A 26,956-nucleotide genomic window follows, 5' to 3' on the forward strand; every position below is an offset into this window, starting at 1 on the left:
AGCCTGCTACTGCATTATAATTTGCGTATAATGAGCAGTGAGGATGACCAGAGGTCACTCTCATGGCCATCTTGGGTTTGGTGGGATTTGGCCGGCTTCTTTACTGCAACCTGTTTTATGAGCAAGGTCTTTGGGACCTGTATCTTGTGTTGACCTTCTATCTCATCCTGTGACTAAGAATGCCTAAGCTTCTGTAAATGTAGCCCAGCAGGACTCAGCCTTATTTTACCCAGCCCCTATTCAAGATGGATTTGCTCTGGTTCAAATGCCTCTGACACCTTGATCTCTTCATTATCTCAAATTTTGTCAGCCCTCTCCTCTACTTTCTTCCCTTCCTATTGACCTAGACCCCAGGTTATTCATCTGAGATAATATCTCACCAGCATTTTCTTGGCCTTACACCCTATCTGCTCACTGCATCTGATTGCAGAACCCCAACCCTTCTGTTAGCAGAGCCCTTAGCCTAGACTCCTAATCCCTTTACATGCCTTTGCTCTACTTCCTGTCTCATTTTCTCCAGTGACTATTCCAGACTTCTGCCCCTTTCACTCTTCACTGATATCCTGTCCTCCTACATGATGAAAAACCTGGAGCCTCAAGGGGAATTCTTCAACACATCATACCTTTCAAAATTATCTCTGGCCGTACCTATTCTTCTTTTCTTTTTGTTTCAGAGGTTAAAGTATCAAACCTTCCATTGGTGACCTTATGCTCAACTCCTTCCATCTTCTCCAGGATCTTGCTGTCTCAGCTCTTCCACTGTCTCCTTATTTTCTTTCTCTATTTTTAGACACAGGGTCTCACTGTGTCACCCTGACTGGAGTGCAGTGGTGCAATCATAGCTCACTCCCCCAGCGTCGAACAGGCTAGCTGGAACTACAGGCAGGAGCCACCATGCCCAGCTTAAAACTCTTATTTTCAAACTATAATGCTCAAGTCTCTGTCGATATGAGTAACCCTTCCTTTGACCTACATTTTCCTCCTAACAATCACACTATACATTTTCTTTCCTTCTTATTTTAACTTCCGAGAAGAGTACTCTGCATTCACTGCCTCCAGTTCCTTGATGTTATTCATTCCCTCCATAATTCTCTCTAATGTAGCTTCTTCCCTATCTACTCTGTGGAATCAGAAAGCCTCAGGACATTCAGCCTTACTGATCTCACCCACCCTGAAACTATTCGCCTGGTTTCTGGGAAGCCAGAGTTGTCTCCCAGTATCTTACTGTTGGTTCTTTTTTCTTGTGATTCTTCTTTTCATGCCTTCTCTTAATGGTGGCATTCTCTAGCATCAGGTCCTTAGCCAACTTTTCTTCTTACATTCTATCCTCTTCTTGGGTGATAGTTGTATTCTTCAATACACTGATACCTATGTACTAATGAAACCCAAGCTATCTTGAATTTGGGACTTCTTCTTGCTCAATATCTGCACTTGGATATCTCATAGTCCCTCAGACTCATATGATCATATCTGAGCTTAACTTCCCCCACTTTAAAATATATACCTTCTATAGCATTTTGTATTTTGCTTGGTGGCACTATGGTCCATCCATCACTCTAGCTGGAAACCTGTCACCTCACATGATTCTCTTTTCTTCCTTGATTCCCACAAACCAGTAATCACCAAATTTGTCCATATTGCCTCATAACCACTCATGGCATCTGTCCTGTCTTCTTTATCTCTATTCCTTTCACTCTCCTGGCCCTTATCTCCAACTGCCCTCTTGCCTCAATATTATCCCTGTCAAAACGATTGTTCATTAATCTTCCAGGGTATTCTCCTGAAGATGACATCCAAACATCTCAATACTTTTCACAGTTCTCTGTCCCCTCCCCACAGCACTTCCATGATCTGGCGCCCAGCATACTCCTCACCTCATCCCCTTCAGTGCCCTTCACTGCCTTGTACTTAGCTTCCTGTAAATCTGAACTGCTTGCTGCTTCCTTGAAACCCCCATGCTGGAACTTTGTACATATTTTGAGCCTGAAATACCCTCCCCATTCTTCCTCTTCTTTCTGTCCCCCAACCTCCAGAAATCTTTAAGGATCAGATGGTACCTACTCCAGGGAATTTTCCTGACCACTCCTCAGCACCTTTCTTCCAAGATAGGTTAGATACCCTTTTCATGCTGTATTAGTCCATTCTCCCGCTGCTACAAGGACATACCCAAGACTGGGTAATTTATAAAGGAAAGAGGTTTAATTGACTCACAGTTCTGCAGGGCTGCAAAGGGTTCAGGAAACATACCATCGTGGTGGAAGGGGAAGCAAACACGTCCTTCTTCACTTGGTGGCAGGAAAGAGAAGAATGAGAAAACTGAGGGAAAAGGCCTTTATGAAACCATCAAATCTCATGAGAACTCATGCACTATCCCAAGAACAGCATGAGGGTAACTGCCCCCATGATTCAATTATCTCCCACAGGGTCCCTCCTATGACATGTGAGGATTATGGGAGCTACAATTCAAGATGAGATTTGGGTGGGGACACAGCCAAACCATATCACATGCCTCAATTTTTATTTATTGCATCTTAATTATGTTGAAAGATGTGTCTTTATAAGACACTAAGATTGGTGAGGGTTACCAATACATGCAACATTCACTTTCTGATTACTCCATTATTTGGGCAAAACTACAGAAATAATTCCAGAAGAAACTCTACAGCAGCCATCTGAATATGTATTTACTTAGCAAATACTTATTGATGAATTACTAAATTTAAGACACTGTACTAGGTGCTAGGAATTTAAAGATGAATAAGACTAGGTTGTCGACCTCATATGTAATGAAGGAGAAAACAAATGAATGAATTCCCACAGAGGGTGATAAGTGCCATGATACAGATGTAAGAGAGGGGTATGACAGGAGTGCTTAGAACATCTTAGGATAGGATTGTAGGGGTGGGTGGGGGGAACTGAGGAAGGCTTCCTGAAGATGTCACAAATGCCGAGTTTTGAAGAATTGGTAAAACTTAGTCAGGCAAAACAACTGAGAGGTAGCAGAGTGGATAAATAGACACAATACAGAAGTGGTATTCACAAAGATATGGAAGAGAAAGAGAAGATGGTGAGTTCTCAAAATTGCAAATGGTTCAATATAATTGGAGAACTGAGTGAGAGAAGAGTTGGGAAAGATGAGGCTAGACAATCCAAGCATGAAAAGACCTGCATACCATGCTAAAGAGTTGGGATTTTAACCTGAAAGCTATCGGAAGCCATCGAATGCTTTAAACAAGAGAGTAAAAAAATGTTTTTGACAGCAGATCACCCTAACAGCAGAGCGGAGAATGGATTGGGGAAGGGCAAGCTCAAAGGAGGGAGACCAATTGATGAAGATATGACAATACTACTTTAGAAGAGAAATGATGAGCGCTTGGGCTTAACCAGTGGAAGTAGGGACAGAGAGAGAACAGATATTCTTGCACAACTTACAAGAATTGGTGGCCTAGTGGATGAGAAGAATAAAGGAGAGGGAGGAATCTGTTTCTTTTTTTTTTATCCTTAACATATTTATTGCGTACCTATTTTAGACCAAAAACAGATTCCTCCCTCTCCTTTATTCTTCTCATCCAGTAGGCCACCAATTCTTGTAAGTTGTGCAAGAATATCTGTTCTCTCTCTGTCCCTACTTCCACTGGTTAAGCCCAAGCGCTCACCATTTCTCTTCTAAAGTAGTATTGTCATATCTTCCTCAATTGGTCTCCCTCCTTTGAGCTTGCCCTTGACCATTTGACAGGATGGTCAGGAGAGACTGCTCTGAAGAGACAACATTTGAGCAGAGATATGAATGTGGTGAAGATCAAATCATACAAATATCTAGAGGAAGAATGTTTGAGAACAGGTGACTGTCAGGCTTCTGGCTGGGAGGACAGTTTACATGGCACTATTTACTATAATAGAATATAAGTGAGTAAGGGAGCACTTTGCTCACTTGCTTCAAGGGAGCAAAAGAATTCTAATGTAACCTTTGCCAACTTATTTGTTGGCCATGTGGTCTTGGGCATGTTACTGAAGTTATTTGAACCTCAATAACCTCCTTTATGAATGGAAATAGCACTAACTTTCTTATCTCACAGGATTTTTGTGATGGTCAAATAAGCTGAGATGGTGAAGGTGCTCTGGAAATTGTAAAATGCTATACAAATGGAAAGTATTATTATTTGCTTACAGTCATTTAAGCTTTCCTGAAGAATGGACTTTTAAAGAAGACTTTGATTTCCGTGTGCTGTCAAAATCCATGAAAATAATAAATACCCCAACACCAGAGAAAAGGAAAGGCACTCATATTTTCCTCTGGGAACCAATTATGATGATGCCAACATTCCCTTTGTTCAAGCATTAGGATCTGTCAATCAGGTTGTGAAGTTTGTGTTAGGTTTTAAATGAGATAGTAATATTTTTTTATATAAAGACTGGACATCGTCTTCTTTTTGACAAGAAAAATATGCCCTTCAACTAGCATGATTTAATCAAATATAATACCTTTTGCGGGGAGTAACCTCAAGAGCAAAGTTGAGTTACGCACATTTTCACAATCTCCTTCTCTTAATTCACGCCATTCCATTTACACACACATACACATGCGTGCACATGCGCGCACACACACACACACACTCACACACACAGAGCCATTCTTTGGGTTTAAAGCAATTTTTTGTTGTTTATATGTTTTTTTCAAAATGCATATTTGTAAATATTTGTAAGTTACGTAATGGTATTGTAGGGGCATTAAGTTCCTACTCTCCATCGTGTTCCACAGGTTTGGTACTCAGTCATTGTGAACACTTAGATTATCTAGAAGGTTTTACTTTTCTGATTAACCAGTGCAATCTGATCTTTGCTCTGAACAACATCTACTTTGCAATAGTCAGGAGTTTGTCTTTGAGCCCAGTTCTGGGCTTCCTGGAATTTGGTTGGTAATGTATTCGTCTGAGAAGAAGTCAGGAAGTCAGTTGAGTAGTAATGACAACCTCAGCAAACAGTGGTCATTGATCTGTTCATCTAGATGAGCTTTTCAACTACTTCCTCACTTGGGCCACACTCCTAAATCTAGAAGCTGAAGAGGTTTCTCAAGTGAGGTAGTGTAATCATGTTTTCCTGAGCAGCCACTGCCATTGTAGAGTCATCTCAATAGACTGAGAATTGGGTCCATTCCATCTCTAGACTCAACATGTTTCTATTTTTGTAATTTCCTATAATGAATCTTAAGTTGAGCCAGATAAAGCTGCATTTATACAATACATAATTGGCCAGCTGTTAAATTGGGAGCCAATAGCTCCCAAGAAGACAGGAAAAAAATCCTCTCAAAAAAATTTCCATTCAGAAGTGATTACCATTCTGTTTGTAATTTTGTATGGTAATTTCACAAATGGAGTTCTGTACTAGCAAGAAAATAAACATCTGCAATTAATTATGCCATGTAAAGCATGTTGCCTGTTGCAAGACATAAGCTGAACCTTCAAACCCTTTGATAGCTTGACAGTTTCCAAGAGATATGCAACTAACTACTCAGCATTACTTTTTATTATTTACCCAACTCAGAGGCAGATTATCATATTAGAAAGAGTATAGTTGCCCTTGGTAAGGTTGCTGTGGAGACAGAACTGGTTTCTGTCCTAGCACTCACTAACCCTGTGACCATTGAACACTTTACCATTAGTTCTTCTTACCTCAGTTTCCCCATCTTTAAATGGTAATGAATATACCTACATGATAGTCTTATAAAAATTACTTAAGTTAACTCACGTAAAGTGCCTTGTTTAATGCCTGACACAAAGTACTCAATAAATGTTGGCTCCTTTTCTTGTTCCCCTAAGAAAGATACTGAAAAAATTTAAAGGAAAAAAAAAAAAAGAAAGAACTTGAATACAAAGGAGAAGAGATGAAACTATCATAGATTAGTTTGTGCACTGGTTTAAGCTTCCTGTTCCTGCATCTAGAGCAGGGATTAGCAAACTGTAGCCCAAGGCCAGATCCAATGAGTCACCTGTTTTTATAACATCTGCAAACTAAGAATGGTTTTTACATTGTTCAATGACTGAAACAAAAGTTTTAAAAAAGAATAATATCTTATGACCCATAAAATTGATATGAAATTTAAATTTCACTGGTCATGAATAGAGCTGTAAGGGAATCACAGCCATACTTATTTGTGTTATCTATGATTGTTTTCATGCTACAGTGGCAGAGTTGAGTAGTTCTGACAACAGAGACTTTATGGCAAAATCTACAATATTTGTTATCTTATTCTTTATGGAAAAATTTTGCCAATGTCTGATGTAGAATTTTCTATTGCACCCTCCCTTGCCCCTTGGGAATGGGCACAATATGGATCAATAAGAGGCAGTAATACAGAGTTAGGGCCACTTTTTAAAAATGCCTTACCTGAGGCATTCTGAAATTTCTTTCCTCTTATATCATAAAGGAGAAAAGAGAAATGCCTTATTCCTTGTTTCCTGCCCTCATTCCCCACCAACTACCTCACCGTCACCGGGAGAAAATATCGAGGGACTCTGCTGACTCAGTAGCCCTGCTTCTTTAGCAATCACACAGTTCCCCTGGGATGCTTCCCGTCTGCAGCATTGCCTTCCATTCAGTGAACAACCCCTATCGTGTAACACATGCCCCCTGAAAAAAGTCACCCCTTTACCTTCTACCTGATGACTCTGCTTCTCTCCCTGCATCACGCTCATTAATTCATGGAACAACAGGAGAAAAGTCTGAGATGAAGCATGTGGTAATTCAGCCAGGGACTTTTGATAGGGGACTCTATCAAAAAGTTTTTTTTTTTTTTCTGTTTTGAAGAAACTGTCAGAAAATGTTTCTCTTTAAAATTGCTATCATTTCAGGGGGATCAGGGAAAAAGTCAGAATGAACTTCCCAGAATCAATACATTTCTATTCTGTGTGACTCCGGGAAGTGGTTATTGTTAATCAGGTATTTGTCCCTTAAGGATATTCAAACAATTATTTATTGGGAGCCTTCTATATTCAAAGAACCGTTGTGTATTAATCCATTTTCACACTGCTATAAAGATACTATCTGAGACTCAATAATTTGTAAAGGAAAGAGGTTAATTGACTCACAGTTCCACATGGCTGGGGAGGCTTCAGGAAACTTACAATCATGGCGGAAGGTGAAAGGGAAGCAAGGACCTTCTTCACATGATGGCAGGAGAGAGAAAAGTGAGCAAAAGAGGAACTTGCCAAACACTTATAAAATCATCAGATCTCATGAGAACTCACTCACTAACACAAGAACAACACGGGAGAAGCCGCCCCCATGAACCAATCACCTCCCACTAGGTTCCTTCCTCAATACTTGGGGATTACAATTCAAGATGAGATTTGGGTGGGGACACAAAGCCTAACCATATCACATGGTATCTACATTTTATCTTGTTATTAATGAACATCATGGGCCCACATTGTACACGAAACTGTGAGTCTGGTGCCACTCTGCTATGGGTGGTGTTTACAGGTGGGGCTCACTAAGGTGTCCTGGCCAAGAGGACAGTCTCCTTCCTTCCCAACCTCACCCCTGCCATCCTGAGAAGGGAGCATAGTGTGGTGGACCTGGGCTCAAGTCCAAACACCAAACTGATATCTCAATGCACTGGAAAGTATATGAAAAAACGCTCTTCACTCTTAAAGTGCTATCGAAATGCTGGTTAATATTATCATGATAGATTTCTCACAAAATGTTTGATTTTTTATGCATGCTGGTTAGAGTAAGATACTTCTAATAACAGAATGAAAAAGCAATTTTTCAAAGGATATGCAGCTGAATATGAACATGAAATACTGGAAAGCAGGCCATCTTTCATTTTCCAAATTGACATCAATTATATGAGCCTTTCTACTTGAAAGAAGTTTTATTTAAAGGCACAGTTCACTCATTTGTAATTCATTTAATTATGTGGGCTCCTATCATTATTTTTTATAGGAAAATAGAGTAATTACATCTAAAGGGCAAATATCCTTAAGAAACTGAAATTTTTAAAATGGGAAGTATGAACACAATTCCACATGCTGAGAAATTTAAGTAAAAAGGTTGTTAGATTTGCTCATAATCAGTTAATAGGGTATTAAATGGCTCTTTTCCTGCTGTCTTAGAATTTCAGCTAATGCCATTCTAAAGAGAGGTATAGTAGACCATCCTCAAGAATTACTGGAGAGGATTGCTCTAGACCCATGACCTTTACACCATCATCCCTTGCCAGCAAATGTGAATATGATACAACCAGCAATTCAAAAATAATTGAAAAGAGGGATTAAGGTACCTGGTTGTGGGCCAATGGGGGAATGCAGGGTTATTTTGTCTGCCTTCCCCAAAATGGGAGTGGCGGTTGGGGCGAGAGCTTCTGGTGCTACAAAGCAAGTGCTGACAGGTCCAGGAAGATCTACTCCAGAAGAGCCTAAAGTGGGGAAACGCATCTAGCTCCCCAGTAGCTAGTTGCTGAGGCTCAGAACTCACAGGCTCACCTTGGGCAAGCTTGACATGTGACACATGTACGCGATGACCACTACTCGCTTCCTCATGGAGAATTTATTTTTTTTCTTTTTAGAGACAAGGTCTTGGCCGGGCGGGGTGGCTCACGCCTGTAATCCCAGCACTTTGGGAGGCCAAGGAGGGCGGATCATGAGGTCAGGAGATCGAGACCATCCCGGCTAACACGGTGAAACCCCGTCTCTACTGAAAATACAAAAAAAATAGCAGGGCATGGTGGCGGGCGCCTGTAGTCCCAGCTACTCGGGAGGCTGAGGCAGGAGAATGGCGTGAACCCGGGAGGCGGAGCTTGCAGTGAGCCGAGATCGCGCCACTGCACTCCAGCCTGGGCGATAGAGCAAGACTCTGTCTCTAAAAAAATAAATAAATAAATAATAATAATAATAATAATAATAATAATAATAATAAAAGATACAAGGTCTTAATGTTACCCCGTCACCTGGACTGGAGGGCAGGGGCATGATTATAGCTCATTGCACCTTCGAGTTCCTGGGATCAAGCAATCCTCCTGCCTCAGCCTCCTGAGTGGCTGCAGATACAGATGTGTGCCAACACGCCCGGCTAATTTTTCTTAATTTTGGTAGAGATGGGGTCTTGTTATGTTGCCCAGACTGGTCTCAGACTCTTGGCTTCAAATGATCCTCCCACCTTGGCCTCCCAAAGTGCTGAGATTACAGGTGCGAGCCACCATGCCTGGCCCTCATGGAGAATTCTGAAGGCTGCAGGCTGGGCCACAGTCTGACTTTCCCGGCCCTGGGCATTTTTGCCTTTATAGGTCCCTCCCACCATAATACTATCAATCTTACACATTATTTTTCATATACTTTTATGTCTTCAACATTTTTCTTCTGTCTTAGGAAAAATTTAGTATGTTTTCATGGGCCCTAAAAATTCTAATGTCCTATGACCCTAAGCTTTTATTTTTGCCTTCTGATTTTAAGTGCAACTAGAATATTTCCACGGGCCCCTAAAAGTACTTTGGGCTCCAGGCCTTGTGCCAGCTGTGCCTAAGGATCAGGTCGACCCTGGCTGGAGGAACCCGCCACAGAGTGGCAAGGCTGCATTCACACTGATACTGTCCAGCATCCTGTGAATTCCCTTTGGGCCACAGAAGGTAGCTTCGCTGGAGCCATCCTAATGGGAATTGGCCCAAGAAGATTTGCTGTTGGGGCGAGGTGACAAGATAAGACAGGGTAAAAGAAAATAATGCCCTTCCTGGTTTGTACTACATCCAGTTCAGTTCATTCAGCCAAGCAGCTATGGTGACAAAGTATGTCACTGGCAAACCTGTAAATGAGTCATCAGTTAGAACTTAACTACTTCTCATCTGGGACATTTAAGCATTTTCAAAAGCCTAAATACTGACTTTTGATTTATGTTACTAAATTGAGACTCCTTTTATGAACTTTGCATTTGATAGAAGGATAACTACTTACAAAGTAGATTTAAATTAGTTCAAAAAACTGTTTTAAATATTTTAGAAGTATTCTTTCACATAGAGATAATACTACCTGCTCTTCCATTTAGTAAAGCTTTCTATCTAGCAGTGAATTTGGTTATTTTGCATTATTTTTTATTAAATTTTTAAAAATCAAATTTTTTCAGGTGATTGTTCTCACTCATCAAGGTATTTTAACAAATTTTATTTAAATAATTGATTTTTAATTGTAGTGTCTATTTCAAAAAATATGAGAGCTATTCCTGCAAACTGGTAGCCTGTTAGCCAAATGCAGCTACAAAATGTGTTTGGGGGATCACTTATTTTTTTGATCTTTGCTTGTTGTGGTGAACCTGCCTTTCCTGTTGTGCATGTTGGCTGGCTCTGGGCCCGGGCTCCCCCTTTTCACAGGCATGCACTCTCAGTTCACCACAGCCCCCCTTCTCCCTGTGGTGTCATACCCAACCCCTTCTCCCAGCTAGTTTACCTGCCTGGCTGCTGCAGACTTTGAGTTTGTGACCCTCAACTGATGGACACTCTCACCTCTGTTCTTGTAGTTCACTGATGTATCTATCCCCTAGGGCAGTGTTGGGCGTACAGCTGGCACTCATAAATGTTGTTGACTCACTGACTGAGGACCCACTGAGTAAGCCCTAAAAACTCTACTTCCTTCATAGGCTTTGCTGCCCCTGGCAACTTTCCTACCTTGAGTATTTCCCTTTTGGAGTACACTTAGAGTCAACTGTCCTCTCTCCTTAACTCCCTTATGAGCCCTAGACATTCTTTGATATGAAAAACTAATTTTTTTAGCAATCTTAGACACAGCAGAACTTTTCAAACATATTACAAGCCTAAGCCTTTCCAATACAAAATTTTATAGCCAGCAACCTTCAAAGAATCCAGAAATCAAGATCTCTCACCACCCACCAGCCTGTTCTGATTTTGGTTCTTCCTCCTCATCTAGGTGCATTGCTGCTCAGAAAGTATGATGAATTATGAGAGTGCTTATTCATGTATGTCTACCCCAACCAGGGACCACTGCGATAGGCTGTGCAGGCTGTGCCCCCCACAGCTCTGGGACGCCATCCACAAAGGCTGCACAGTTGCCCTGCATGACCCCTGCCCCAGCTGCAGGTATAGGGGAAGGACAATATCTAAGATTTTAAGAATGGAAGAAACTATTTAGGTCATAGTCAACCCTTGATTTCATAAGTGGAGACACTGTAGCTCAGCAAGATTAAGTGACTTTTCTAAAGTCATATATTTAGCAACAGAACACAGCCAGAATCTAGGTCTCCTGACCTCACGTCCACAGTATATTCTAAGTCAACTTTACCAGTCGGCCCTGTCCTGCTCCATCCACTTTATGGCAGGGCCCTATAGAAGTCTGCCCATCCCACCTCTTCTTTTTACTGGGGCTCTCATAAGAAGAGCCAAAGAGTGCTTGTTCTTTCTTGAAACTGTATCAGGAGACAGCCCATGTCCTGTGAGGTCTGCAAAGCAGGGCGAATATACTCCAGGGGGTATGCAAGATGATCCATCAAATGGGGGTAGAAAACTCTAGAAGTTTTCTTTCCTTTAAATTATTATCTCATTATTTTATTGTTGTCTGTTTTATGATGTTTATATAATTTTAATTCAGTAATATATGAACATAATTTACAAATAAATGTCAGTGGTGTGCATGAAAAATAATTGTAAGAATTTTTTATTTTTTGAGACAGACTTCCCCAGGCCAGAGTGCAGTGGCACAATTTCAGCTCACTGGAACTTCCCCTTCAAGGGTCCAGCAGCTCCTGTCTCAGCCTTCTGAGTAGCTGGGATGACACGCATACACCACCATGCCTGGCTAATTTTTGTGTTTTTACTAGAGACAGGGTTTCACCATGTTGGCCAGGCTGGTCTCGACCTCCTGACCTCACATGATCCGCCCGCCTTGGCCTCCCAAAGTGCTGGGATTACAGGCATGAGCCACTGCACCCAGCCTTTAAGAAATAATTTAATAGACATTTATGACTCCACCCTTGGAGAGTCTGATTTATCAAGTTAGGGCTGAGGTCCATGGTTTTTTTTTTTGTTTTTTTGTTTTTTTTTTTAAGGATTGGGTTTCACCATTTGCCCAGGCTGGTCTGGAATTCCCAGGCTCAAGCGATCCTCCTACCTCGGCCTCCCAAAGTATTTGGATGACAAGCGTGAGCCACTGCACCCAGCCTAGGAATTTCTTTTTTAATATCCAAAGTGATTCTGATGCACAATCAGATTTTGGAACGACTGCACTAAGGTCTTGAGCATTCTGACCTAGGTAAAGTTAAGATGTTGATAAAGTTGTATATACAGGTCTAAGGATAACTATTTACTTTAGGCTTAAGGAAGAATAAAGTAATTTAATTGGAAAAGCTACATATGACCCATGGTATCCAGTATAGACTCAGATGAATGCCTGAACTGCTGAGTATGGATCTCTCCTTTGTGATGCTCAAATTTAGTTGAGCAAACTCTTTTTTTCACATCTTTTTCTGACATTAAACTAATAAGATATGTTTCAGCTAAATCATAAATCTGCATCCTCCTAAAGTTTGCAGTTCAGACTTTATTTCCATGCTGTCTCATTGATTTTGTGACTGTGCTCTGAGCACTCTATGGGCTTTTGTTTAATTTGCATCCATTTCCTTCATATTGAGAAATATGAAAGTTCAATAGTTGGGCAGCTGTGGCAAGAATTCATTCTTGCCCGAGGTCTAGGGTAATAATTGCAATGCAAGATATTTCTGGTTATTACCCCTTAGGTTCAATATCTCAAACACAACTCCAAAATATAAACTACCTTAAAGTTAGGCTTTGGCCAGGTGCAGGGGCTCATACTATGGTTCCAGCTACTTGGGAGGTTGAGGCAGGAGGATCGCTTGAGTCCAACAGTTTGAGGCTGCAGTGAGCTATGGTCATGCCATTGCACTCCAGCCTGGGTAACAGAGTGAGACTCTGTCTCTACTAAAGAAAGAAAGAAAGTTAGGCTTTGTGAGCCCCAGTTTTTGTAAAGAGATACACTGTAAAAAGTATAGTCCAGAGGGTAAAGAGAAATAAAAAGGAACTGCAGTATCTTTCAAAATTATAAATACACATACCTTTTGACTTGCAATACTATTTCTAGAAATTCATATATATACTAAAATGGAAATACTTATATATACAAAAATAGCCCTTTCACAAGATACTGTTTATTACAATATTATTTGTAATCACAGGAAATTTGAGACAGGCGGGTTCCCCTCAGAAATTAAATAAGTGCTAATTTAGTAATACAAAGGAGTATTTGGTGGCAATAAAAAAAAAGAACAGTTTTAAAATACGATTTAGACAGCTCTTCAAAATACGTTATTAAGTGAAAAAGCAATGAACAGAATGGTATATGCTACCCTTTGTATTTTTAAAAAAGAAAAGAAAAAAAAAAAGAAAAACATGTACATACACAGCAACAAGGCCAGGTTTCTCCTTCCCTGCCCCTTCCCTGCTTGTGTGTCTCAGTTCTGCAAGTGCCTCCTCCCAGACCTCCTTGTCTGGGCTTCTTGTCTAGGCTTCTTCTGGGTGGCCCCTGTTTTCCAATAACCCTGTTTCTTCCTGTTACCCCATCTGATCAATGGAAGTAACAGCTTTCAGTTGTTGCTAATCTCTGAGGTTGGTATTATTATTGTCCATTGTCTCGTCTACTAAGTGAGGAAATTGAAGCACGGTGATGGAGCCAGGATGGAAGCCCACACGTTGTCACTCAAGCTTGAGCTTTTTTAACCATGGCACAATACCATTCACAGATACTAACACCCGAAACATACATATGAATATATGGTAGATGCTACATGCTTTAAGGGAGAATAAGACAAAAGACAGAGTTTCACTGGTGGAGATGGGTGGGAGGGTGGGAGGGTGATGTCCCAGAAAGGCCTAAGAAAGTTACATTTAAGCTGACACCCAAAGGAGGATGGTTGTTAGTGGGGCTGGGGTCTGGGAGACAAACATCTTTGGCCTGTGCAAAAGCTCTTGAGGACAGAAAGAGCTCAGTATGTCCAGAAGGGAGGCTGATGAGAGAGTATAGCTGGAGTAGAATCCAGCACAGGGGCAAGAGGAGGGCATGGGGTGAGCCTGGAAGGGCGATAGGGATCACTCAGGGCCAGGCCAGCCAGGTAAAAGAAATGAAGTCTTCTTAGAGCACCAGGGAGCCACAGGAGAGAAGTGATGTGATCTAATTCATATTTTACAAGGGTCACTCTGTCTGCAGCACGACAATGGGATTTGGGTTGGGAATGAGGAAAGAAGAATGGGCAATAGTGGAAGCAGGCCAGGCGCGTGGCTCACGCCTGTAGTCCCTGCACTTTGGGAGGCTGAAGCAGGTGGATCACCTGAGGTCGGGAGTTTGAGACCAGCCTGTCCAACATGGTTAAACACTATCTCTGCTAAAAATACAAAAATTACCTGGGTGTGGTGGCACATGCCTGTAATCCCAGCTACTCAGGAGGCTGAGGCAGGAAAATTGCTTGAACCTGGGAGACAGAGGTTACAGTGAGCCAAGATTGTGCCACTGCACTCCAGCCTGGGTGACAAAACGAGACCTTGTCTCAAAAAAAAAAAAAAAATAGTAGAAGCAGAGAAATTACCAGTTTATTGCAGTAGTTCTGGTGAGAGAGGATGGAGAGTTCAACCAAGATACTGCAGTGGGAGTGGGAAGAAGTGGTCAGATTTCAGGTATATTTCAGAGGAAAAATTAACAGGACTTGACAGCAGATTGGATGTGGCTGGTGAGCAAAGGAGAAGTGTCCAAAAGGGTTCCTGGCATTATGTGCTACCCAACAGACTCACTTAACCACCCAATACCCTTTCCGGATTAAGACCTTATAACAGGTCGGCCCATCCTCACCACAAGCAAAACCACAAACCCAGCATGGAGGGCTGGATTTTCTTTTAAACAGGAACAATACAAAGTACTACGCGAATATCACCACATAATGGAGTAAGTAGATTCTTACTGTTAATTACGACTTAATCATTACTTGTAATACGGCCTGGGGGCAAATGGATTTACAACCAACTTAGAAATGAGCCTATCAAACATAATCTATTTATAAGTCAGAATTAACTTGATAAAGAAAAATATATATGTTTTCCATCTAATTTGTGTTTTCCAGGCCTGTCAGAGAGTTTTCCATGCCAAGAGGAGCCAACACTTTTTGCTACTGTGTTAAGGCAAATGTGATTGTCACTGGAGGTGAGAGGGCGGTTCACATTACATAGGGGTTTTCTACTTTGCAAACATCGTTCTCTTCGAGTTTTGGTGCTAGGAAGAACACATTAGGGAATTTACAAATTTGTATCAAGTCAAATCTGTTTGTCTTTTTCTTTCTGGCGTCTGGATTTGATAACATACTTAGAAAAGCCTTCTTCAGCCCAAGAGTGTGTGAGAGAAATTTTCCTGTATTTTACTAGAATTTGTTCTTACTGTTTTGTTTTCTGTTTTACCTTTAGAGCTTTAATCCATCTGGAGCTTATTTTATGTGTGAGAGCATGAGTTCCTAGGTCTCCCAGGAGACCTGGAGCCCCCGGCACTTATGTGTGTGCGTGTGCCTTTTTCTGGAGAAAAATTTCAAAATTTCATCAAATCCTCCAGAGGAGATCATGACCAAAAAGGTCAAGAGCCAATGGTTTAGAGTTAACAGATGAGAAGACCAGGAAGACAATCTTGAAGAATACCAACATTTAAGGGATAGGTTAGGTAGAAAATAACAAAAAAGGTTATCTGCTAAGAGGAAGGAAAAAGGTAACACAATAAGTTTTGTCGGGGGAAGGTAGGGGACTGAAATGATCTTTGAGACTCAGACTCCTTATTTATAATACTGGGGTTTTAATATCCATAGGATGGCCTTGAGCCTGGGCCCTGGAGTCAGACTGTATGGGTACAACTCCTGGCTCTCTCACTTGCGAGCTGTGTGGTGGGCAGGCTATTCATTCCTTTAAGCTCCAATCTCATTTGTAAGTGGAGTTGATAATAGTACCTACCCATAATGTTATTATAGGAATTAAACTGACTGGGCTCCATGGTTTACACCTGTAATCTCAGCACTTTGGGAGGCCGAGGCAGGAGGATTGCTTGAGCCTAGGAGTTCAAGACTGCCCTAGGCAACATGAAAAGACTGCTAGTCTCAGCTACTCAAGAGGCTGAGGCAGAGGATCACGTGAGCCCAGGAGGTTGAGGCTGCAGTGAGCCATGTTTGTGCTACTGCACTCCAGCCTAGGCAACAGCAAGAGCCTGTCTCAAAACAACAACAACAACAATAGCAACAAAACTAAACTAATTCAAAGTCCTCAATACAAATTTGTTATTAATAATACAAACAATAAGAAAATAACACCTGGACAGGCGCAGTGGCTCGCACCAATAATCCCGGCACTTTGGGAGGCTGAGACAGGAGGATCGCTTGAGCCCAGGAGCTCAAGACTAGCCTGGGCAATACAGTAAGACCTTGTCTCTACAAAAAAAAAAAATTAAAAATTAGCTGAGCATTTGGTGTGTACCTGTAGCCCTAGCTACTAGAGAGGCTGAGGTGTGAGTATTGCTGGAACCCAGGATGTTGAGGCTGCAGTGAGCCGTGACTGTGCCACTGCACTCCATCCTGGATGACAGAGCAAGACCCTGTCTCAAAAAGAAAGGACGAAGGAAGGAAGGAAGGGAGGGAGGGAGGGAGGGACAGAGGGAGGGAGGAAGGGAAGGAAAGGAAGGAAGGAAGGGAGGGAGGGAGGAAGGGAAGGAAGGGAAGGAAGGAAGGGAAGGAAAGAAAGGAAGGAAAGGAAGGAAGGAAAGAAAGGAAGGGAAAGAAAGAAGGAACGGAAAGAAAAAAGAAAGAAAGAAAGAGAAAAAGCAAGGAAGGGAGGGAGGGAGGGAGGGAGGAAGGATGCCTACTTCATAGGATGGTGTTTGAGATTGATTGAGATAATTTATGCTTGGTGCATAATAGGTTCTCAATAAATATTAATCCTCTCTGTTTAAACACATTGGCAAAATCACTTTGGCAAAGGTGGAGGTTTTGTTGGGATAAAATGAAATTTGCGATTCTAGTTAGGAGACTGTTAGAGAAGACATGAGTCAGATGGAGAGGGTCTGAATTACTGTAGGTGCTATTATTTAAAAAAAGAAAGACTCGACCTCAAAGACATGGGAAATTAATTATTCATAAGACTTGGAGATGCAATGCTTTTGGGGATTAGTAAGAGAAATCAACCAGCTCCACGTTTGTATGGTGGGAGAAATGAAAGAGTAGCAATTGTGTTGATAGTTGTACAGAAATTAGGAAGTGGGTGCTTACCTGGGGAAGAAGAACAAAAGAAAGCTCAATTGTGAACTTAAATGTCAAGTGTTGATTGGACATTCAAGAGAAGATTCCTTTTGGTGACAGGAAAAGATCTGGTTGGAGATGAATGATGTCAGGGCTCCCTAGGCTACCTGGATCTGGGAGAAGATGAGCTCCCAGAGGTTCCTCAAGGAGGCCAGGGTGGCCTTGTAAAAGACAGAAGGCATGTAGGCTTGCAAGACTTAAATGAGCAAAACAGAAACACAAACAAACATCAAGAAAGTGGCCTACATTGCAAACCCAAACTTTAAAAAGGGAAGAAACAATAAATATTTTTTTAAAAAAGAAGAAAACTCTGTCATCAAGAAAAAAATCAATAAATACATCATTGGCAAAAGAGTTTACAGCAAAAATATCTATTAAAGGAGCCATGATGTTTAATGAGTAAGTGCTATTGGCTCTGTCTATCATAAGATTTTTTCAAATTTCTCACTCTCAAACATACACAGCAGGCGGTTTGGTTTCCTATCTAAAGTGTCCTGCCTAATCCCTGAAGTGCCTATATTGCTAAATATAAAGACAGCTGAGCTCCTATTTCATGGCTGGGGAATCTCCCCTAAGGGCATAAAGTTAATTTTTTTTTCAAGTACACTGTGCATTCAAAATTTATATTTAAATCTATGCTCAGCTCTGGGCCTTCTATAACACTAAACTGAAATTAGCTTATGGTTCCAACAGTATTACAAAGATAATATAGTAGCCTATTGGCAAGCACAACAAATAAAAACAATGCACTAGAAGTTAGAATAGCTGGGTTTAGCCATCGCCTGGCCAATCACCAACTCTGATTTTTCAGCAATCACTTAATTGCTCCCTTTTGCTCATTTTCCTTATCTGGTGAAAATGAGGAAGTGGGACTAAATACATTTCAAGATCCCTCTGAGCCTAAAATACTGTGATTCTATTTTTTAAAGAACTGCCTGTTCACAGGGAGATAAACTAAAAATGTCCTTTGGAAAATTTGGAACCCAGTTTGCCAATTAGATGCTACTCAATATATAATTACAGCTTTGTGCACTCAGAAATACCAAAACATTAATTGTCCACAAACCTCTAAGACTCAAGTGAGGACATGAAGAAAAGAAAGGAAGGCATATGGATAAGAAGTCTGTAAAGAAGTGTGTGGGAGTCATGGCTTGGGTAGGGAGCAAGTTTCTTGATACTTGGTAGTGATGATTCTAAGAAAAACAGGAATCCAAGTCTCTCAACCAAACTAATTACAGTTATTTAAAGATCTCCATACTGAAGTCTAGAAGACATCAAGAAACAAATGCTAGAATCAGAAAAAGAAGTGGGATACTTTCAGAAAAAGACGTGGGTTACTTATATCCCAACTGCTTGATCCCCATTGCTCCTTCCTGAGTTAATGACTGTCTTGGCTTATTACTTCCAACGGAAATGGGCACAGTTTTTGGTTTGGATCACACATCAGAAGGAGGATGCAAGAGATGAGGGAGGGAGAGCCCCTTGGTGTGAGAGATAAAGCAGCAAACATGTTTGAGAATCAAACTGCAATGAATCCTCCTGTCGCCGTTGCATGTCTTTAGTTAGGCAAAAATATTAGCCCTCTTCCTCTTTCAATGCAAACCCTGCACATGAAACCCTTTGAAAAAGCAGTACGTAAATATATGGCTAATGTGAAATTTGATTCTAAAATCTGATTGTCACATTATGCTGTCACATTAATCTTAACCAACTCCTCTTCACAGCTCTTTGCCCTCACACACAAAAGAATACAAAATGTTAAGAACTGACCAGTTTTTATAGGCTTTGTAATCTTAGTATTTTAATCATTTCTGGGGGAAAAATGTGTTTGGTAAAGTTTTAGGACTTAAACCACTTCAGTGTTTTTGGATTAAGTCATTTGACTCTCATTAACCTCAGTGTTCATTATATTATAAGACCCTCATCTACAGCTTGAAAACGTGTTTATTATAGGTTTTCTAGCTCTCTCACCAAGGGAAGAAAACACTTAGTAGTATGACCGACAAGCAACTAATACTTTTCATCATGCATAATTTATTGAATTGTCACAGTTATGGAGCCTCTATTAGTAGAAAATGCAAATTCCCAGTAACTGAAAACACATTTTTCTCAGGAGAGTACTCTTGTTGATTAGTGACTCAGCCAAGCACCATTGCTAAATGTACGGTATGTACCCGCTGACGACTCAAAATATACAATAAAAGCAGCTTTGCTAGGCATAGCTGAATGTGTTAAATGTGCAGGGACATTTGATGAGCTTCAAAAAAGCACAAGCTTTTGCAGGAAAAAAAAAAAAGCCAAACCAGGACAGAGTGTTTACCAAGAAAACCTAAAAATTTCCTGAGCATTATTTTGGTGACCATCAAGAATATTTTTGCTGAACAGTGTTTGCACTAGCCTTTTAGGAATTAAGTTCTTAGTATGGAAGATTCAGAGTAGGAACACAATTACCTCCCAAAAAGATATTTTGGGGGCTCTGCATGCATTTTTTTCATGTTTTGTTCAACAAATATTTTCTGCACAATTGCTATAGACTAGGCTATTAACCTTATAAAGGTCAGGTTGTATTCCTAACCTGCGAACATTTAAAGCCTAATAGTGTAAGACAAGTTTATAGGTAACTACAAAGTATAGCATGAATCAACATATGATGATGATGATGATGATGATGATGGCGATGGTGATAATAATACAGATGAAATAGTATAGGCTTTGAGAGCTTCGCATCTGTCCCTTTCTGCTAATTCTGCCTCCACAAAGCCACCACATATGATTCCATTCCAAGCAACGAAAGCAAGCAGAGCTGGAGGACATCTGTGGAGTAGGCAATAGGGAACCTCCAAAAGATTGGATTTTCTTCACAACGAATAACGGACAAAGCCATTAGTTTAAGAGGCCTAGATATTTCTCAGGTGGCAGATCTCTATTGCATTCTTCTTCGTGTGATATACAAGTCATAGATTTTCTTCTGGGGATATAGCCTATTGCCAGCCTCATCATCCAGGAATGATAATGCCCATTTCAGGGGATGTCCCACCAACATGATGTAAGATCACCTATGGGTGCAAGGCTTAGGTTCTGAACATGTCTGAATAGCATGACACATCTTGACAATTCCCAATGAAAAGCAAATGCAGTCAAGATACTGCATTATTGGAATTAGTCAGTTTGAATCATGTAACTGAATATCTGGTGAGTTTCTTACTACCTATGAAAATTCCAGATTGCCCTCTGCTTTCACTGTAGTGATGTCTCCCTCCGGAGCACATAATCATGAAATTTTAGAGCTGGATGGAGCCTTGAAGATTATAATTTTACATGAGGAAATCGAGACCCCAGACAAGTCGCACAACTAGTTAGCTGGCAGAGCTGAGACTGAATCAGTTCTCTTTGCACCCACTCAGCCCTGTGTTCTTCCTGGACCACAGAAATCTGGTTTACTAGATGCTATCTCTCTCCTGCTTTTTTGTGTGAACTAAGCCCGCTCATCTCATCAAGAGTGATGCACTTAGATGAAGTGACTCACCCAACTGAGAGAAGAATCTGCTAAAGGAAAGAAAATCCTCTCTTTGATATGTGACTTTTATCTAAATTCTGGCTTCACACACGCAGAAAAGAAAAAAAAAAGAAAGAAAAAATAGAAAGCAACAAAAAAACAGGGAATTAACTCTTTATGAGCCATAATATTTATAGTATAAAGACCTATCTTCAGATTTGACATACTCTTTACAAATAGTTGTTTACCCTCTATATCTCCTTACCTTATTGCTACTACTAGATTGTGAACTCTCAAGAGCAGGGATCATATTTCATATATCTGTGTATCAGTTCCTCTCCCCTAAATATAATCTAAATGCATTGTAGGAACTTAGAATAATAGTAATAGTAATTGTTAGTTTACGGTCCAGAAACTGTTCAGTTACACATTTACAACTCCACTCAATCTTCACAATAAAACTATGATGTTAACTTCCATTTATCCTCATTTTATAGGTAAGAAAACTCAGATGCAGAGAGGCAAAGCAACTTACTCAAAGTCATAAAGCTAGTTAAGGGGTAGAGCCAGGTTTCAAATCAAATATGATTCGCTCAAAATACGTGTCCTTAACCACTTCATGAGTGACTCTACAAGCCAACTCATTTACTTAGCAAACATGTATTAAGCACTTACTACTTGCCAAACACTGCTATCAATGAGAACTACTAGGCTCACCAGATAATGGGTAAACAGATAGGTAAACAGACAATTATGAGTGCTGTAAAAGAAAGCTGAAGAAAGCACAGTAAAAACACAGAAGAAGGAGTCTGAACTCCGTTTAGGGCAGAGGAAGGTGATTAGGGAAGGCGCTGCGGAGAGTAATAACCAAACTAAGTCTAAAAGGGTGTAAACCTGGGTCTTCTGAAAAAGTAGACCTTGGGCAGGAACAATATCTAGAATTTCTTTGTATCCTTCACATCTTGCAAAATACTAAGGGCACAAAGGTATCAGAAGAGAAGGGGGAGCATAGATTTAAAAAAATTTCTAAGTGCACAGTTAGCTTCTCAAGAGATTTTTCTCTCTTGCTGTTAATAAGGGCAGCATGAAAGTTTGAAATTTAAGAAAATATTCCATTTCCTCATTAACCACAACCCCTCCAATATCTTGTTTGATGTTTTAGCCAACTTGAGCTGCCTTAACAAAATACCATAAGCAGAAAGGTTTAAGCAACAGAAATTTTCTGGAGGCTAGAAGTGCAGGATCAAGGTGCCAGCATTGTCAGTTTCTGGCGAGAGCTCTCTTCCTGGCTTGTAGACATCTGCCTTCTCTCCATGTTCTCAAATGGCAGGGAGAGAGAGGGGAGAGAGGGTGGGTTGGGGCAGCAGGAGCTGGTGTCTCTTCTAATAAGGACATTAATCCCATCATGAGGGCCCGCCTTCATTACCTCATTGGAACCTAATTATCTCCCAAAGGCCCCCCATTTCCAAACACCATCGTGTTGGGGCTAGGGCTTCAATATATAAATTTGGGAGGGAATGAATTCACTCAATTGCAATTCTTAAGAAATGGAAACCATCAGCTATGCAATGAGTTTTTTTCAGCCTGCCTTTAATAACACTCCAAGAAGTGAGAGCCTCTGAAATGAACAAATGACCTTCCAAAAAAATTAGATGAACATTCAATGAAGATCCATTTTTTTGTTTGAATACATGTTTTTCCCCTCTTTGGGGACTTGATAGTTAAACCTCTGAGCTGTGATTCATCATCCCAACAATGAAGTTATTGAAGTGGTTCAAAAAATATCTTTTGAATTCTTACTATAGATTATATGTGACAGTAAACAACAACAAGTCCTGTCCTCAAGGCACCTGGAGTCTAATAGTGGTCCAGACAAATAATTAACTATGAAGGATGATGGGGATGAAGGAGGCACATAGGTAGGGCACTCAGGTTTGAAGAATATGGAAGTATTCTGGAATATTACTGGAGGAAAAGCTATGCTGAGACTTGATGGATGGATTGGGATACTCGAAGAAGAGAAAAAAGGTAGAGAAAAATACTATGCTTTTTCATGAGGCCCAATAAAATAATCATAGAATTATGGAAGCATCTATCAAATTTGCCTGGTTTATAAATACCCAACTAACAAGTCACCTAATTATCCCTCCATACCTGACATGCCCTTTCAGTGTGGATAATCTATCAAAATAAAAATCCAATATACATCAGGAAATACATCCTAATGGGTGGCCCAATATATAATATCAGATTAACTAGAATTACTATTTTGGGTTTTAAAAATTTATTTATTTTCTTTTTTTCCTTCAAATTTATTTTAAGTTCCAGGGTACATGTGAAGGATGTGCAGGTTTGTTACATAGGTAAACATGTGCCATGGTGGTTTGCTGTACAGATCAACCTATCACCTGGATATTAAGTCCAGCATCCATTAGCTATTCTTCCTGATCCTCTCTCTTCCTCACCACCCAGTGAATGTGAGTTGTTCCCCACCGTGAGTCCATGTGTCCATTCTCAAGGTTCAGCTCCCACTTATAAGTGAGAACATACAGTGTTTGGTTTTCTGTTCCTGTGTTAGTTTGCTGAGGATAACGGCTTCCAGCTCCATCCACATCCTTGCAAAGGACATGATCTTGTTCCTTTTTATGGCTGCACAGTATTTCATGGTGTATATGTACCATATTTTCTTTATCCCATCTATCATCGATGGGTGTTTGGGTTGATTCCATGTCTTTGCTATTGTGAATAGTGTTGCAATTAAGATACGCAGCCATGTATCTTTATAATAGAATGATTTGTATTCCTTTGGGTATATACCCAGTAATGGGATTGCTGGGTCAAATGGTATTTCTGTCCCTAGATATTTGAGGAATCGCTACACTGCCTTCCACAGTGGTTGAACTAATTTACACTCCCACCAACACTGTAAAAGCATTTCTTTTTCTCCGCAACTTTGCCAGCATCTCTTGTTTCTGGACTTTTTAATAATCACCATTCTCACTGGCATGAGATGGTATCTCATTGTGGTTTTGATTTGCATTTCTCCAATGACCAACGATGTTGAGTTTTTTTAATATGTTTTTTGGCCGCATAAATGTCTTCTTTTCAGGAGTATCTGTTCATGTCTTTTGTTCACTTTTTAATGGGGTAGTTTTTGTTCTAGTAAATTTGTTTAAGTTCCTATAGACTCTGGATATTAGATGTTAGTCAGATGGATAGATTGCAAAAATTTTCTCCCATTCTGTAGGTTGTCTGTCCACTCTGATGATAGTTTCTTTTGCTGTGCAGAAGCTCCTTAATTAGATCCCATTTGTCAATTTTTGCTTTTGTTGCCATTGCCTTTGGTGTTTTTGTCATGAAGTCTTTGCCCATGCCTATGTCCTGAATGGTATTGCCTAGATTTTCTTCTAGGTCTTTTATGGTTTTGGGGTTTACATTCAAGTCTTTAAACCATCTTGAGTTAATTTTTGTATAAGGTGTAAGAAAAGAGACCAATTTCAGTTTTCTGCATGTGGCTAGCCAGTTCTCCCAGCACCATTTATTAAATAGGGAATCCTTTCCCCATTGCTTGTTTTGGTCAGGTTTGTTGACAATCAGCTGGTTGTAGATGTGTGGTTTTATTTCTGAGATCTCTATTATGTTCCATTGGTCTATGTGTCTCTTTTCGTACCAGTACCATGCTGTTTTGGTCACAGGAGCTTTGTAGTATAGTTTGAAGTGGGATAGTGTGATGCCGTCAGCTTCGTTCTTTTTGCTTAGGACTGTCTTTGCTGTTCAGGCTCTTTTTTGGTTCCACTTAAATTTTAAAATAGTTTCTTCTAATTCTGTGAAGAATGTAAAATGACTATTTTGAATTTTAGGCTTTTTATATGTAAATTATGACTGTTAATAATTTAGGTTATACATAAATTATAACTTAGGTTATAACGCCTTTATACAGCCTTTTTGTCTAGTAGCCTAAAGGTCCTTGGTAATATGTAAGGTGCTTAGGCATGCTTTGTTGTATTACTAACTCAATTCCATTTTCTCAGATGTACAAATCACATTTAAATAATTAAATTAAATCATTCAATTAAAATTACTTAATCTTTGGGAGTTAGTTTCTTTCTTTTGTGAGATAAGAAAGTTGGATTATGCAACTTCTAGGATCCCAGTTTGAAGTTCTTTGATGTTTTTATGACTCAGTTTCCAGGATGACATTTAAAGAACTATTTGTGAAATATAAAATTTAATATCTTAAAAATATTCTATGTTTTGTAAATGATTACAGTTTTTATTCTTTTTGGAAACATAATTAGATTACAGCTGCACATTTGTTTAAGTAATGCTGGCTACTGTAAAAAATAACTCCCAAAATGTGAATGGGTCAGACACAATGAAAATGTAAAGTTTAAAATCAGCTCTCAGAATTCACTGGCGAAAACTCAGTAATCTGACCACGCCTAACTGCAAAGGAGCCTGGAAATGTGTATCCAGGAAGAGAGGATATGGTTTTGGTGAAAATGCAGCCAGTTTTTTCATAAAACTGTGTGTGTGTGTGTGTGTACATATGATAATACATTCTTGGTTCAACTTTTATTTTCAGTGCTGTCAAAATTCCAATAGATCATGGCTAAAGGATATAGTCAAAAAATTTACAGACGAAGAAGATACAATTAGCAGATATATTTGGGAAAAAATACCCAACGGCATTAGCTATCATAAAATGTAATTAAAAATAAGGTATCATTTAGAACTATTAACATAGCAAACATTTTAAATCATGACAATATTCATGTGCTGGCCAGAATTTAATGAAACTGACAGAATATATCATTGATGGCCTTGGGATTTAGTACAGCCATTTTGGAAAGTAAGCTAGCAATATGTTTAAAAGTGATAAAAATGTATATAGCCTGTAACATAATGATACCACACTTGGGACTTTATCCACAGTAAATAATCCAAAAGGAAAAAAAGACCACAGAAGTACAATAACCATTCGTTGCAGTATTGCTGAATAAAGTAAAAAACTAGAATTAGTGGACTAATCAATGGACAAGGGGTTAAGAAATTCTGAAATAGTAACTAAAAGGATAATTATGCGGGCATGAGCTCGTGGCCTTTCCTAAATAAAAAAAAGTAGTGGGTATAAATATGTATCTAGAAATATATCTAATTTATATTTTTAAAAAGTTAACAGTGATTTCCCACAGGGAGTTAGAGATTATGGAGGAAAAGACATTTTTATAAAAATTATGCCCTTCTATGATTTTTAGCAATTAAAAAACCATATTTATTCTATGGTAGTAACTACACATAAATTATATATGCCTATGAATACATGCTAGAAGGGAAGACGGAAAAATGACAACAGTTGATTTGTTATAATGGTGAAGATTAAGTGCAGTTTCCTCTGTCCTTGATTTCTTTCATTATTATAATGTTTGCATAATTTAAGAATGAAAACAAAAGAACAGCTGCCTTAAATATCTTTGGAAGTAAATAAAGTATAAATAATACATTAATGCATCAAAGTATAGGAAAGGATTGAGTCAAGAAAAGAACTCATAAAATATTTATGAGAATTCACATTTGTGTATGTAAATACAGTCTTTACAAAACAGCCTTCACAAGAAGCAGCAGATCCAAACCAAGGCCAGCCCCTTAGCACATCAATCACAGAATAATGCATCCTGCCAGAAACGGACTGTGATTTGCTGTTCGAAGAAAGATACGGGTATGATACAGTGAGAGATACATTTGAAACTCTGACCACCTCAGAAAACCAACAATCTTTCCCTGTCCTCCTTTTCAGGAGATGATAAGGTCATCCGGTTGTGGCACCCCAATATCAGCACCAAGCCAGTAGGGAAACTTGTAGGACACATGTTCAGTATCGCCGAGATCGTAACCAATGAAAAAGATCAACATGTCGTCAGCCTTTCCTCTGCAAAGGTAACAAAAAGAAAATAACAAAACAAAACTAGTTTTTTCCGGAAAATTATCTGTTGGAAGGCATAGGGATGATACAATTTTTGACTGAAATAAATGATAGTCATTGAATCATTGAGAAAAATATTGTCAGTATGGAAAAGGAAATGATAAGCCAATGTTCTCTCTTTCTATTGATTATAGCATAAGTAAGAACACGTTTAA

General features: G+C 39.7%; 1 protein-coding gene and 1 long non-coding RNA gene across 9 annotated transcripts in view; one reads left to right on the forward strand and one right to left on the reverse strand.

Moving 5' to 3' along the window:
• The window catches only part of WDR64 (WD repeat domain 64), a 150,497-nt gene that overhangs the window by 44,401 nt on the left and 79,140 nt on the right, over positions 1-26,956 (forward strand). For all 7 annotated transcript variants that reach the window (NM_001367482.1, XM_011544087.3, XM_011544091.2 and 4 more), the window contains 2 exons: positions 15,121-15,200; positions 26,616-26,755. In NM_001367482.1, coding sequence (NP_001354411.1) covers positions 15,121-15,200; positions 26,616-26,755 — 220 coding nt within the window. The remainder of the gene's footprint in view (positions 1-15,120; positions 15,201-26,615; positions 26,756-26,956) is intronic.
• Positions 1-26,956, reverse strand: part of LOC124904603 (uncharacterized) — an 81,624-nt gene that overhangs the window by 36,058 nt on the left and 18,610 nt on the right. The window contains exon 4 of one of the 2 annotated variants that reach the window (XR_007067054.1): positions 23,086-26,747. The exons of the other annotated variant lie outside the window; for it this stretch is intronic. This is a non-coding gene — a long non-coding RNA (uncharacterized LOC124904603). Of the gene's footprint in view, positions 1-23,085; positions 26,748-26,956 lie in introns of those variants that run through there. 2 annotated transcript variants of the gene reach the window in all.

Source organism: Homo sapiens, chromosome 1 (genome assembly GCF_000001405.40).
Source record: "Homo sapiens chromosome 1, GRCh38.p14 Primary Assembly".
Taxonomy (NCBI): domain Eukaryota; kingdom Metazoa; phylum Chordata; class Mammalia; order Primates; family Hominidae; genus Homo; species Homo sapiens.